We start from the raw sequence: 12,833 nt of genomic DNA, 5'->3' as shown, positions 1-12,833 counted from the left end.
GGAGAATCGCTTTAACCCAGGAGGCAGAGGTTGCAATGATCTAAGATAGCGCCACTGCACTCCAGCCTGGGCAACAGAGTGAGACTCGGTCTCAAAAAAAAAAAAGGGAGAGAAGACAAAGGAGCCCCCTGCAGTTCAAGGATGTGACCTGGAATCTGATCAACAGGACTGAGCTGTATGTATTGTATATGTATACATATGTATGCACTGTGTGTGTGTGCGTGTGCGTGTGCGTGTGTGTGTATCTGGCTGAGGAGAAACTGGTTCTCTCTGGGCTAAACATTTCTTTTTTTTTTTTTTCCTTTTGAGACAGGGTCTTGCTCCAGGTTGGAGTGCAGTGGCAAGATCAGGGGTCACTGTAGCTTTGAACTACTGGGCTCAAGCAATCCTCCTGCCTCAGCTACCTGAGTAGCTAGGACTACAGACAGGCACCATCATGCCCCAGCTATATTTTTAATTTTTTTTAGAGATGGGGTCTTGCTGTGCTGCCCAGGCTGGTCTTGAACTCTTGGCCTCAAGCAATTTTCCAACCTAGGCCTCTCAAAGTTTTGGGATTACAGGCATCAACCACTGCACCTGACCCTGACTAGCCAATATTTAAGACATAGCAAAGAAAGCACATCTTTGTTATACAAACCAACCAATCCGGAGCCCTACCTCCTCCATCTGGCCCTTACATTCCAGGGGGTGGTATAATATTCCTTTGCCTTAATCATCTCAGGCCCAGGTGCCAGGCAAACTAGAGACCACCCCTATAGCCTAGAGCCTGTGGAAATTATTCAAAGTAGCCAGTTGGACACTGTTTACCCTATCCACCTTGACTTTCTTTTGGGGATGCCCTGATGAAAACTCTGGCCTAAACCCTCTACCCACTCCTGTCTTTTACCTCCTGCCCATTTTGGTGGATTTTCCATGTGGCCCTGGATGGAGTGGCATGCCTTCTGTCTGTAGAGCCTGTGAATATAATAAACTTCATTTTCCTGAGCCTCTCCTGTGTGTCCTCTTGTGGCCACACTGACTGACCATCTTATAAAAGAATACAATCACTGGGCACAGTGGTTCATGCCTGTAATCCCACACTTTTGGAGGCCGAGGCGGGTGGATCACCTGAGGTCAGGAGTTCGAGACCAGCCTGACCAACAAGGTGAAACCCCGTCTCTACTAAAAATACAAAACTTAGCCGGGCGTGGTGGCAGGCGACTGTATTCCCAGCTACTTGGGAGGCTGAGACAGGAGAATTGCTTGAACCCGGGAGGCAGAGGTTGCAGTGAGCCAAGATCGCACCACTGCACTCCAGCCTGGGTAACGGAGCGAGACTCCGTCTCAAAAAAAAAAGAAAGAATATAATCCAGGAGGTATACATGGAGATGGTCCTGAAGTCAAGGGGAAGAGTCTACCAAATGCCAGAAGCAGGTGAGGCGCAACACATAGGCTTAAAGGAAAACAAGCTGAAACCATGCAGTCTGATCTTATGTTAGAAACGTGGCTGTTAATAGGCTGGGTGAGGTGGCTCACATCTATAATCTCAGCACTTTGGGAGGCCAAGGCAGGAGGATTGCTTGAGCTCAGCAGTTCAAGACCAGCCTGAGCAACATGGCGAGATCCCATCTCTACAAGAAAATCAAAAAAATTAGCTGGACATAGTGGCTCATGCCTGTAGTCCCAGCTCCCCAAGAGGCTGAGGTGGGAGGATTTCTTTGGTCCAGGAGGTCAAGGATGCAGTGAGCCAAGATCACGTCACTACACTCAAATTTAGAAATGTGACTGTTAAAATTCAATTGGCCAGGCACAGTGGCCCACACCTGTAATCCCAGCACTTTGGGAGGCCAAGGTGGGCAGATTGCTTGAGCCCAGGGGTTTGAGACCAGGCTGGGCAGTGCAGTGAGGCCTCATTTCTTAAAAAAAAAAAAGAAAGAAAGAAAGAAAGAAAACAAAAAACATAAAAGACCATATGAACTTTATATAAAACAAAGAAAGACGTTGCTATGGTTTGGATGTTTGTTGCCTCCAAACCTCATGTTGAAATTTGATCCCCAATATTGGAGGCAGGCCTAACGGGAGGTGTTTGGGTCATGGGGATGGATCTGTCATTAATAAATTATGCCCTCCCTCCAGGTGAGTGAGTTCTCAGTCTGTATTAGCTCCCACAGGGCTGGTTGATAAAAAGAGCCTGGCACCTCCCTAGTGAAAGCAGCCTGCAGCCCTCCCCAGACACAGATGCCCCATTTGAAGTTTCCAGCCAACCAAATAAGCCAAATAAACCTTTTTAAAATAAATTACTCAATCTCAGGTATTCCTTTACAGCAACACTAAAGGGACTAAGACAGATGTTAACAGCCATATCAATTTTTTGGTGACCAAGAAATAACACATTAAACATTTTTCCACCCTCACTTGACAGTTTACTTATTATATATGATATTTAGCTATGTGTATCTACATTTCAGGGAATTGGCTAAGGAAGATCTAATTTTTACAAACTAATATGATGTAAAATATGTTTCTTGTTAATATTTCTGTACCATATAGTCTGGTTTTCAGAAACGAATTACTGGAGTTAAGCTGGAAATGCCTGTCTACGCACAGAATACCAAGTCATCAACAGGACTAAATTAGCATTCTTATCCTTACAATGAAATTCTCTCGCCGGGCGCGGTGGCTCACGCCTGTAATCCCAGCACTTTGGGAGGTCGAGGCGGGTGGATCACGAGGTCAGGAGATCGAGACCATCCTGGCTAACACAGTGAAACCCCGTCTCTACTAAAAATACAAAAAATTAGCCAGGCGTGGTGGCAGGCACCTGTAATCCCAGCTACTTGGGAAGCTGAGGCAGGAGAATGGCGTGAACCTGGGAGGCGAAGCTTACAGTGAGCCGAGATTGCGCCACTGCACTCCAGCCTGGGTAACAGAGCGAGACTCCGTCTCAAAAAAAAAAAAAAAAAAAAAAAAAAAAGAAATTCTCTCGGCCGGGTGCAGTGGCTCAGGCCTGTAATCCCAACACTTTGGGAGGCTGAGGAGGGCAAATCACGAGGCTAGGAGGTCAAGACCAGCCTAGCCAACATGATGAACCCCCATCTCTACTAAAAATACAAAAATTAGCTGGGCGTGGTGGCGTGCACCTGTTGTCCCAGCTACTTGGGATGGTGAGGCAGGAGAATTGCTTGAACCCAGGCGGCGGATGTTGCGGTGACCCCAGATTGCGCCACTGAACTCCAGCCCAGGCGACAGAGCAAGACTCCATCTCAAAAAATTAAAAAAAAAAAAAAATTCTTTCACTTGGGTCCTCCTTTGACTTCACCCTTCTGGAAGAAGGAGACTGCAGGAACAATGACTTGCCACTCAGAGCCCAGAGCCCCTTCTAGACCCCATTCTGAATTCCTGGAACCTTGGAATTCCCTTCAGTCAGGAAGAAGAACAGAGGTAAAAGAATTTTGTCAGCAGGTCAGCCCCCGTTTTGTTTTGTTTTGGTTTTTTGAGACAGAGTCTCACTCCGTCACCTAGGCTGGAGTGAAATGGCGCCATCTTGGCTCACTGCAACCTCCACCTCCCAGCTTTAAGCCATTGTACTGCCTCAGCCTCCCAAGTAGCTGGGATTGCAGACACGTGCCACCATGCCTGGCTAATTTTTTTGTTTGTTCTTTTAGTAGAGATGGAGTTTCACCATGTTGGCCAGGCTGGTCTCAAACTCCTGGCCTCAGGTGATCCACCCACCTCAGCCTCCCAAAGTACTGGGATTACACGCATGAGCCACTGTGCCCAGCCAGGTCAGCCCCCTTTTAAGGAGCTTTCCAAGAAATCTCTACCCTATTTACATCTTCTGTTTACATCTCATCTGCTAGAACTCTATTGGATGATACACCTACCTGTAAAAGAGGCTGGACATATAGCTGAGAACATTGCCACAACCAAAAAATGAAAGGGTTTCTACATTTAAGAAAGAAAGGGAACTTGGATTTAGATAGGCAAATTGAAGTTTCTGGCACTGATGGAGTTATCGGGGACAGGAACTATAATCTTTTCCCAAATCAGCACTCACTGTGTTTTGGTTTTTTGCCTGTTTAATTAACAAGTTCAATAGCATGTCCAATGGCCAATTAGAAGGGGAAAATATCAGAAGAATATCTGAATATCTTGCCTATCCCTTTGTCAGAAAATTGTTAATGCTTCCAATCTACCTGAGACAGAAAGCTCTGTCCCTCAACACCTTGTGAATGTTTCTACGTTCTGACTCTAGAAGCATCTGAAATAATAAAGAATGGACTATTCTGGCCGGGCGCGGTGGCTCACACCTGTAATCCCAGCACTTTGGGAGGCTGAGGTGGGTGGATCACCTGAGGTCAGGAGTTCAAGACCAGCCTGGTCAACATGGTGAAACCCCCGTCTCTACTAAAAATACAAAAATTAGCCGGGCATGGTGGCGCGTGCCTATAGTCCCAGCTACTTGGGAGGCTGAGGCGTGAGAATCACTTGAACCCAGGAGGCGGAGGTTGCAGTGAGCCGAGATCACGCCACTGCACTCCAGCCTGGGTGACACAGGAAGACTGTCTTAAAAAAATAAATTAATAATAATAATAATAAAGAATTGACTGTTTAATCTTAAAATCACACTATATGTGACTATACATATTCCATGAAACTTTGCTTACAGACGAAGAACAAAAATACATATTCCACTGCTATCCCAAATTATGCTTGACAGCTTTTTTTTTTTTTTTTTGAGATGGAGTCTAACTCTGTCGCCCGGGCTGCAGTGCGGTGGCATGATCTCAGCTCACTTCAAGCTCCGCCTCCCAGGTTCAAGTGATTCTCCTGCCTCAGCCTCCTGAGTAGCTGGGACTACAGGCACCTGCCACCACGCCCAGCTAATTTTTGTATTTTTAGTAGAGACGGGGTTTTACCATGTTGGCTAGGCTGGTCTCAAACTCCTGACCTCAGGTGATCCACCCACCTCGGCCTCCCAAAGTGCTGGGATTACAGGCATGAGCCACCATGCCCAGCCAGAATTTATTTTTAAAAAGAAAACAATTAAAAATAAACAAGCAAATAAAATTAAGTGGCCTGGAAGAAAAAAAAATAGGCCAAAAGAGAGGGATGTAAGTACAATTCTGACCATGGGAAAGCTACCCCAGTCAGTGTCCCACAACCTGCCCCTTCCATCTCCTCATATCCCTGTATCTATTCATATGGGCACTAGCACTTTGCTTACAGGGGTTAAAGAAAATCCCCTAGAAATTTTTTAAAAAATAATTGGACTGGGTGTGGTGGCTCACACTTGTAATCCCACCACTTTGGGAGGCTGAGGTGCGAGGATCACTCGAGTCCAGGAGTTTGAGAGCAGCCTAGGCAACAAAGGAAAACCCTGTCTCTACTTAAAAAAAAAAAAAAAAAAAAAAAATAGTAGGGCATGATGGTGCACACCTGTAGTACCAGCTACTCAGCAGGCTCAGGTGGGAGGATCACTTGAGCCCGGGAAGTTGAGACTGCAGACAGCCTATGATTGTGCCACTGCACTACAGCCTGGATGACAGTGTGAGAGATACTGTCTCAAAGAATAATAATAATTAGGCCAGGCATGATGGCTCACGTCTGTAATCCCAGCACTTTGGGAGGCTGAGGCGGGTGGTTCACAAGGTCAGAGTTCAAGACCAGCCTGGCCAAGATGGTGAAACCCCTTCTCTACTAAAAATACAAAAAATTAGCCGGGCGTGATGGCGGGCGCCTGTAATCCCAGCTACTCAGGAGGCAGAGGCAGAATTCCTTGAACCCGGGAGGCGGAGGTGGCAGTGAGCCAAGATCGTGCCACTGCACTCCAGCCTGGGCAACAGAGTGAGACTCTGTCTCAAAAATAAATAAATAAATAAACAAGTAAATAAAAAAAATAAATATTAATAAGAATTGTAAAAATTACCCACAGGGGCAGGGCACAGTGGCTCATGCCTATAATCCCAGAACTTTGGGAGACCAAGGTAGGAGGATTGCTTGAGGTCAGGAGTTCAAAACCAACTTGTTTTTAAAATTTAGCTGGGTTTGGTGGCCTGAGCCTGTCGTCTTAGCTACTCAGGAAGCTGAAGAGAGAAAATTGCTTGAGCCTAGGAGTTTGGAGGCTGCAGTGAGCTATGATTGTGCCACTGCACTCCAGCTTGGGTGACAGGATGAGATCTTGTCTCTAAAAAAAAAAAAAAAAAATAGATTACTTAGAGGGAATAAGACCTCTAGGATGGGAAGAGGCCACAGAGTGAAGTCCTCCCCATTCTGGTATTTGGACATTCCATGTCCCCAGATTAAAGGCTCCTCCTGCAAAAAGTAAAGTCTGCCTAACCAAAAAATCTTGTCCATATACACAGAGTCTATTGGTAAACAACCTAGAGAAAACTCATGCCGGCTACTTAGAAAAATCAAATTAAGCTGTGCTACGTTGTCTCATCAAACTTACTAGAAGGGTCATGCAACGTGGATTACATAAGAACATAACCCAAAAATCCCAACATAGAGAGCACTGTGAAATTCCTGAACTTGGCCAATACCCTATAAATTTTAGAAGATGGATCTTCCCACTAGCAAGTCTATACTTGTTCCTGAAATAAATTAATAGCCCCCTCATTACATATCTCCTTCCATTTTACACAAAGAACTTAAGGTCCCAGAATAGGTTAAAAAAATGTTTTACAATCACTACCTAGATGGGCACCAGGGATATAGCCGAGACTGACCCCAAGAATGAGCAGGAACTCACCTCAGTGGTGCAGAAACTCCTGCAGCAGATCCAAGATAAATTTCAGACCATGTCTGACCAGATCATTGGGAGAACTGATGATATGAGTAGTTGCACTGATGATCTGGAAAAGAACATCGCAGATCTCATGACACAGGCTGGGGTGGAAGAACTGGAAAGTAAAAACAAGATACCTGCCACACAAGAGGTGAAGGTTGCTAATAATTTATACTGAAATCTGGAACACCATTTTTCCAAGCCAAGAGAAGATTGAATGGGTTTTTGCAGCTAACTACTATGTGTATACAGGTTTTATAAAAAGTGTGCATTCTTATCACATACTATATAGTTAGTCTATAGAGTGATTTACCCCCCAGTTTCTTAAACATAGTATCTTCACATCTTGGACCTTGGTCAATTTTGCTATTAACGATTAAACATTAAAACTTTGCTGGTTCCTGAAAAAAAACACACAAAAAAAAACACAGTTTTACTTTCCCAAATTCCTATTCTTCTTTGACCCAACTGGAGGCCACCCTCAGGTGCTTGGGTCAAGTCTTGTCCTTTCTTCAACAGCTTGCATCAACCTCCATCAAGACTGGGGTTGGAATAAATTAAGTGTCTGCTAGGCTAGGCTTCTTCAACCCCAGTGTCTCATGTGTTTCAGCCCTTCAACCAGTGAGTTTAGAAATCCTTAAAGAAATCTTCAGAACAAAATATAAGCATTATAGTGCTTACATCTCAGCACCTACACATCCCTAACAGCATTTTTCAAGTCAAAGCATATATTACATCTATTACAACCTAAATCCACATCATCATTGCCAGCCATAGATTATAGTAGATAGGGTATTAATATTATTGAGTGGAAGAATGTAGATTGTGAAAAATAGTAAAAGCATTATTATTGATAAATTAGCATGGGCTATTTGGAGAAATAATTTGTCTCAGACAACCAAGTGCAGCCTAGAACCAAAACACGCCAAAGGACCTACTTTGGCTCTTTCTCCCTAAGCATTTGAGCCTCAGACTTTTCCACTCCAGAAGGAAAAGCCCATCCACCAAAAAACAGCAGCAACAAAAAGCTTATCCAACAAAAAGTTCTGTTCTGAAAGACAGAAGAGGAGGGCTGGAATTTTCTAAATAATTCCCAGAGACTGGCTTCTTTCTTCTCAGGCCTGGGGAATAGCAGGGCCAGCTTACCTCACCAGCTGTTAGAAGAGAAGAAACCCACACAAGGCCAAAGAGCCCACCCAAGAGATGACAGAAATCAAAATAGTAGTTACCTGGAGGAATGGGTCTTGACTGAAAAGGGGCTCTAGAAAACTTTTCAGTGTCGTGAACAGGTTGTCTATTTTGATCTGAGTAGTGATTACATGTAGGTATACATAGGCAAACATTCATCAACCCATTCACTGAAGATTTGTACATATCACTGCATGTAAATTATACTGCAAAAAAAAAAAAGGAAAAACATTCTCACACACATGCAAAAAAAAACTTTCTTCCCAATAAGAAACACCCCAGCCTTTCCCCAATTTTCTGGATTACTAGAAGTGATTGATTCCAAAGAGAGAATAAAGAGACAGCCCAAAAGAGGAAGACGATGATCTCCAAGCTGACTTGTCCTCACCTCCATGAAATTTCATGGAAGGAAAAGCATCTCAAGGAAAGAGAGGCAAAGAGATTATCAGGGTTCCTCCAAGAGGAAACAATCCTGCACTCACCCTCGCAACTTGGGTCTCATGAAAGAGCATCCATTCAGAAAGTCATCACCTTAAGGTGCACTGTGACTTTAAATCCCTTTCATTAAAAACAACGTGTTCTCCTCTAGGTAAACCTGGCCAAATATATCTGAGAATTCCAAAAGAGCCGTTCTACCCTTTGAGCACTCTCTGCCTGAAAGCACAGTTGCACAATCGCAGTTCAATGAATCTGATTCATCCCCAGGGATATGCCGAATGATCTTCATTTTACAAGGGTTCTTACATTATTTAAATAGAGGAAATACTCCTTTAAAGGCATCAGTTAAGACTTAAAAAAAGAAAAAAGCACAAGAAAAAATATATGTATTAAATATTTTTAAATCTTAAGGCACTGCCATACCCGCATACCCCATGCATGGGCGGGATGGTGGTATCTTCTTCTCCAGCCTGCCCTTTGCCTCCTCACCCACAAACCACCACCACCACTCAGACAGATGGATTGTTCTGTGTTCCTTGACTGGGAAGAAGGATGTGTCAGCAGATAACAAACTTTAAAGGAGTTTATTCTTGAATTGGGATTTTAAAACGTAGGTCAGGCAGTTGGGATGTGTGAGCAGAAGAAAACTAAAAATAAAATAAAAAATGAAAAAATAAAACTTAAGTGCTTTAGAGGTCAAAAAGAAGCCATGCTACATACAGTATATTGAGGAAAACACATGAGTAAAAGGGAAATGTCCCAGTCTTACCCCTTCTCTCTCCAGTCTTCAGCCTCTAGACTAGAAAAGAGTCCTCAGCCTTGAGGAAGAGTTTATCTTACTTCAATGGAAACAGAGAAGTGGTAACAGAGAGTCTAATGGGTCCCAAAAAGAGGAAACTTGCCTCCAGCTCTTGGGCTGTGTAGTTGACATAACTAATTCCATCTTAGAAAAAGACTTCATTTTGGTTGGGCATGGTGGTTCATGCCTGTAATCCCAGCACTTTGGGAGGCCGACATGGGTGGATCATGAGGCCAGGAGTTCAAGACAAGCCTGGCAAAGATGGCAAAACCCCATCTCTACTAAAAATACAAAAATTAGCCAGTCGTGGTGGCAGGCGCCTATAATCCCAGCTACTCAGGAGGCTGAAGCAGGAGAATCACTTGAACCCCAGGAGGCGGAGGTTGCAGTGAGCTGAGGTTGTGCCACTGCACTCACTGGGCAACAGATTGAGACTCCGTCTCAAAGAAGAAGAAAAAGGACTCCATTTTATATTTCATAGAGCACTTTGCCAACAAGGATAAGATGTTCTGTTTAACAAACAAATTAAAAAAAGACTGCTGGCAACCAGATAAGGATGTAAACAAGTGTACTCTTCCACTATCAGTTCTTGCCAGAGAACTCTGTGACTGTAAAGGATTAGACCTTCTCCAGCTCGAAAACAGCTGTCTTAACTGACTGTCTTGCAGTCACTTGTGATAAGAATTTGGCACCTGCCACCGAAGGCTCTGCCACCTCAAAAACTCTTCTTTCGAGACCAAAGGGACCCCAGGGTGTGACCAGGACTCTTGTCTTCTTAGCTCCCACTGGACTGGTTCATTAATCCTTTCTCCTATCTCTTTTTCCTCTTGATGTTAAATGTTACTTTGTTTGTCATGGAATGTTTAACCTAAAACATTTCTATATTGATGAAATATACTATTATATATGGTTTGCAATATTGACTGACTTGTGGAGTGGCTTGAGTCTGTGTGCCCATGGCTCTGACTACAGAGTGAACAGGAAGTACTAAGAATTGCCTCCTTGGGAACTCCATGTAGCTCGTGGACTGGAATAGCATTAATAAAAGCCTGACATTGTGGAAAGACACACACATGCGTGGACCTGTTTAATCTTGCACCGCTCACGACTGGCTGAGGTCGAGGATGGAGTCAAAACCCCTAGATAGGCCGGTAGTCTCTGGAAGAAATAAAAACCTGGCCCCATTGCTCAGGCAGAGGCTCTGAAGAGAAATGACTGCATAGTGTGCCTGGGCAGATGGTACCAGACACAATGGCAGAAGCTTCCCTGTGCCCTGAACAGCATGAGAGCAGGGTAATTTCCATGCCTTCCCCACCCCCAGAGAAGCACAAAGCAGTACAGAGTGATGAAAAGAAAGGGCCTGTGGAAATGGGAATGTGGATCGTCTAGGCAATTGCATGGTTTATCATCTTAGGACCAGACAGGATGACAGCTATTCCAAGGGATGCCAGTGTCAGCAGATGACATCAAGGACCACACTGACCTTCTGCCTCCCCCTCAACAACCCAGCCATGGTCACTGCTAGCCCATAGGGCACTCTCGTGGAAATTAGAAAAAGACATCTGCAAAGTATGTGCTGCTTAGAGAATGAAGTGCAGATGAAATGTCAGCCCCCTAGGCTGTCTGCCCCACCTCCACCTCTAAGCTATGTGGCATAATACTTGAGAAACAGATCTCAAGACCAGGCACAGTGGCTGGCACAGGTAATCCCCATGCTTTGGGAGGCCAAGGCAAAGCAACATAAGGAGATCTAATCTCCACAAAAAAAAAAAAAAAATTAGCCAGGCATGGTTGCGCATGCCTGTGGTCCCAGCTACTTTGGAGGTTGAAGTGGGAGGATGGCTTTGGCCTGGGAGGTTGAGGCTGCAATGAGCCATGACTGTGCCACTGCTCTCCAGCCTGGGTGACAGAGCCAGACCCCGTCTTAAAAAAAAAAAAAGGAAATAGACCTCAGGTGGTGTGATCTTTAGACCCGTTTCACACAACCTCCAAACCTGGCTGAACAGCAAAGACTAGCTCATCTCAGGGAATTTAGCTGAAAATCTCAAGCAAACTTAATATATAGCAAGGTAAAATAACATAATTCAAAAAACAAAACTACAGTTAAGGAAATATAACAATATCCACAAGATACAAAAGTTTGTTTTATTGTAATATTATTTTGATGCTTAGTTTTTATCACAAAATTCTATTTCACACCATAATACTTGATAATTTATTCTATGTAGACACAGAGAGGAAAGGGGACCTGGTGGAAATATGAGCTAACCAGTTAACAAAGAGGGGTGCAGACTCTAAACCAGAACAACCACAGGGAAGAACATCTCATCCAAATTCTGAGCTTTATAAAAAAAGAAAACTGGGAGCAAGAGAAAATTATGTTTGCATACGATTTAGGAATCTTTAAATCATTTTCACATACCTTTGTTGATTCCTGAAATATCCCTGCTTCCATGGAGCAGAAATTATTACCTTCTGTTCAGGAGAATGGACTATAAAACAGCAACTCATAGGGAAAAAAAAGAATGTGATAAAGAAGTGAAGAAAGGGGAAGCATGAGATATAAAAGTTTTATTTTTAAACACAGCTATCCATTGACATGGGAAAAATGTGGGATGGGATTCTGAATGATTTTTTTATCCCCTTCCCTTCTTTATACTTCTCTACAGATTTTTTTTTTTTTTTTTTTTTGAGACAGGGTCTCACTCTGATGTCCAGGCTGGAGTGCAGTGGCGTGACATCGGCTCACTGCAATTTCTGCCTCCCGGGTTCAAGCAATTCTCCTGCCTCAGCCTCCCTAGTAGCTGGGATTGCAGGCACCTACCACCATGCCCGGCTAATTTTTTCATTGTTAGTAGAGATGGAGGTTCACCATGTTGGCCAGGCTGGTCTGGAACTCCTGACAAGTGATCTGCCCACCTCGGCCTCTCAAAGTGCTGGAATTAAGGCGTGAGCCATTGCACCCAGCATTTTTCCACAGATTTTTTTATATGCAAAAATTCCTTTTATTATAAGAAGGAGGAAAAGACAAAATTAGCAAGAACTTAATTTGTTTTTTTATTTTTTTAATTAATTAATGAATTTTTTTTTTGAGACGGAGTCTCGCTCTGTCGCCCAGGCTAGAGTGCAGTGGCGTGATCTTGGCTCACTGCAAGTTCCACCTCCCGGGTTCATGCCATTCTCCTGCCTCAGCCTCCCGAGTAGCTGGGACTACAGGCGCCTGCCACCACTCCTGGCTAATTTTTTGTATTTTTTAGTAGAGATGGGGTTTCACCATGTGATGTTAGCCAGGATGGTCTCGATCTCCTGACCTCGTGATCTGCCCACCTCGGCCTCCCAAAGTGCTGGGATTACAGGCGTGAGCCACTGTGCCCAGCCAATTTATAATTACTACTTATTTATTCCTAAAATCTAATTACTAAATATTACAATAATGTAATTCTTTGCAAAGCAAAAAGCCTGCAAGAAAAATGCACTAAAGTAACTTCAAAGGGATGAACGTAAATTCTTTTTCTGTCTTCTGCTTGCCTATGGTTTCTAAGCTTTCTATAATATAGGTATAATTATTCATTGAAAGGGTGCTTTGTTTTAAAAGGAAAATTCCTAAATGAATTTCTGAAGTATACAAATAACAATGTA

At 43.7% G+C, this 12,833-nt stretch overlaps 1 long non-coding RNA gene and 1 pseudogene across 2 annotated transcripts, besides 1 other annotated feature; one reads left to right on the top strand and one right to left on the bottom strand.

Annotated features, from left to right (window-relative positions):
- Positions 1-6,230: 6,230 nt before the first annotated feature.
- LOC124900759 (uncharacterized) lies at positions 6,231-11,741 on the bottom strand. Of its 2 annotated transcripts, none has more exons than XR_007058229.1 (3): positions 11,617-11,741; positions 7,999-8,163; positions 6,231-6,836 (listed from the first exon to the last, which is right to left on the bottom strand). It is a non-coding gene; the product is annotated as an uncharacterized LOC124900759 (long non-coding RNA). The 2 variants fall into 2 exon arrangements; XR_007058228.1 differs by lacking the exon at positions 11,617-11,741 and adding an exon at positions 8,440-8,668.
- HSBP1P2 (heat shock factor binding protein 1 pseudogene 2) lies at positions 6,669-7,178 on the top strand (annotated as a pseudogene).
- Positions 9,614-10,028: a transcriptional cis regulatory region, noted in NCBI's record as "candidate enhancer chr4.2510 targeted for multiplex CRISPR interference". NCBI's record gives its function as "positively regulates ELOVL6 gene expression with high confidence in K562 cells {active_cell/tissue: K562}" and the evidence as "EXISTENCE:mutant phenotype evidence [ECO:0000015][PMID:30612741]".
- Positions 11,742-12,833: the final 1,092 nt, after the last annotated feature.

Source organism: Homo sapiens, chromosome 4 (assembly GCF_000001405.40).
Source record: "Homo sapiens chromosome 4, GRCh38.p14 Primary Assembly".
Taxonomy (NCBI): domain Eukaryota; kingdom Metazoa; phylum Chordata; class Mammalia; order Primates; family Hominidae; genus Homo; species Homo sapiens.
This window is presented reverse-complemented; position numbering and strand designations above follow the sequence as displayed.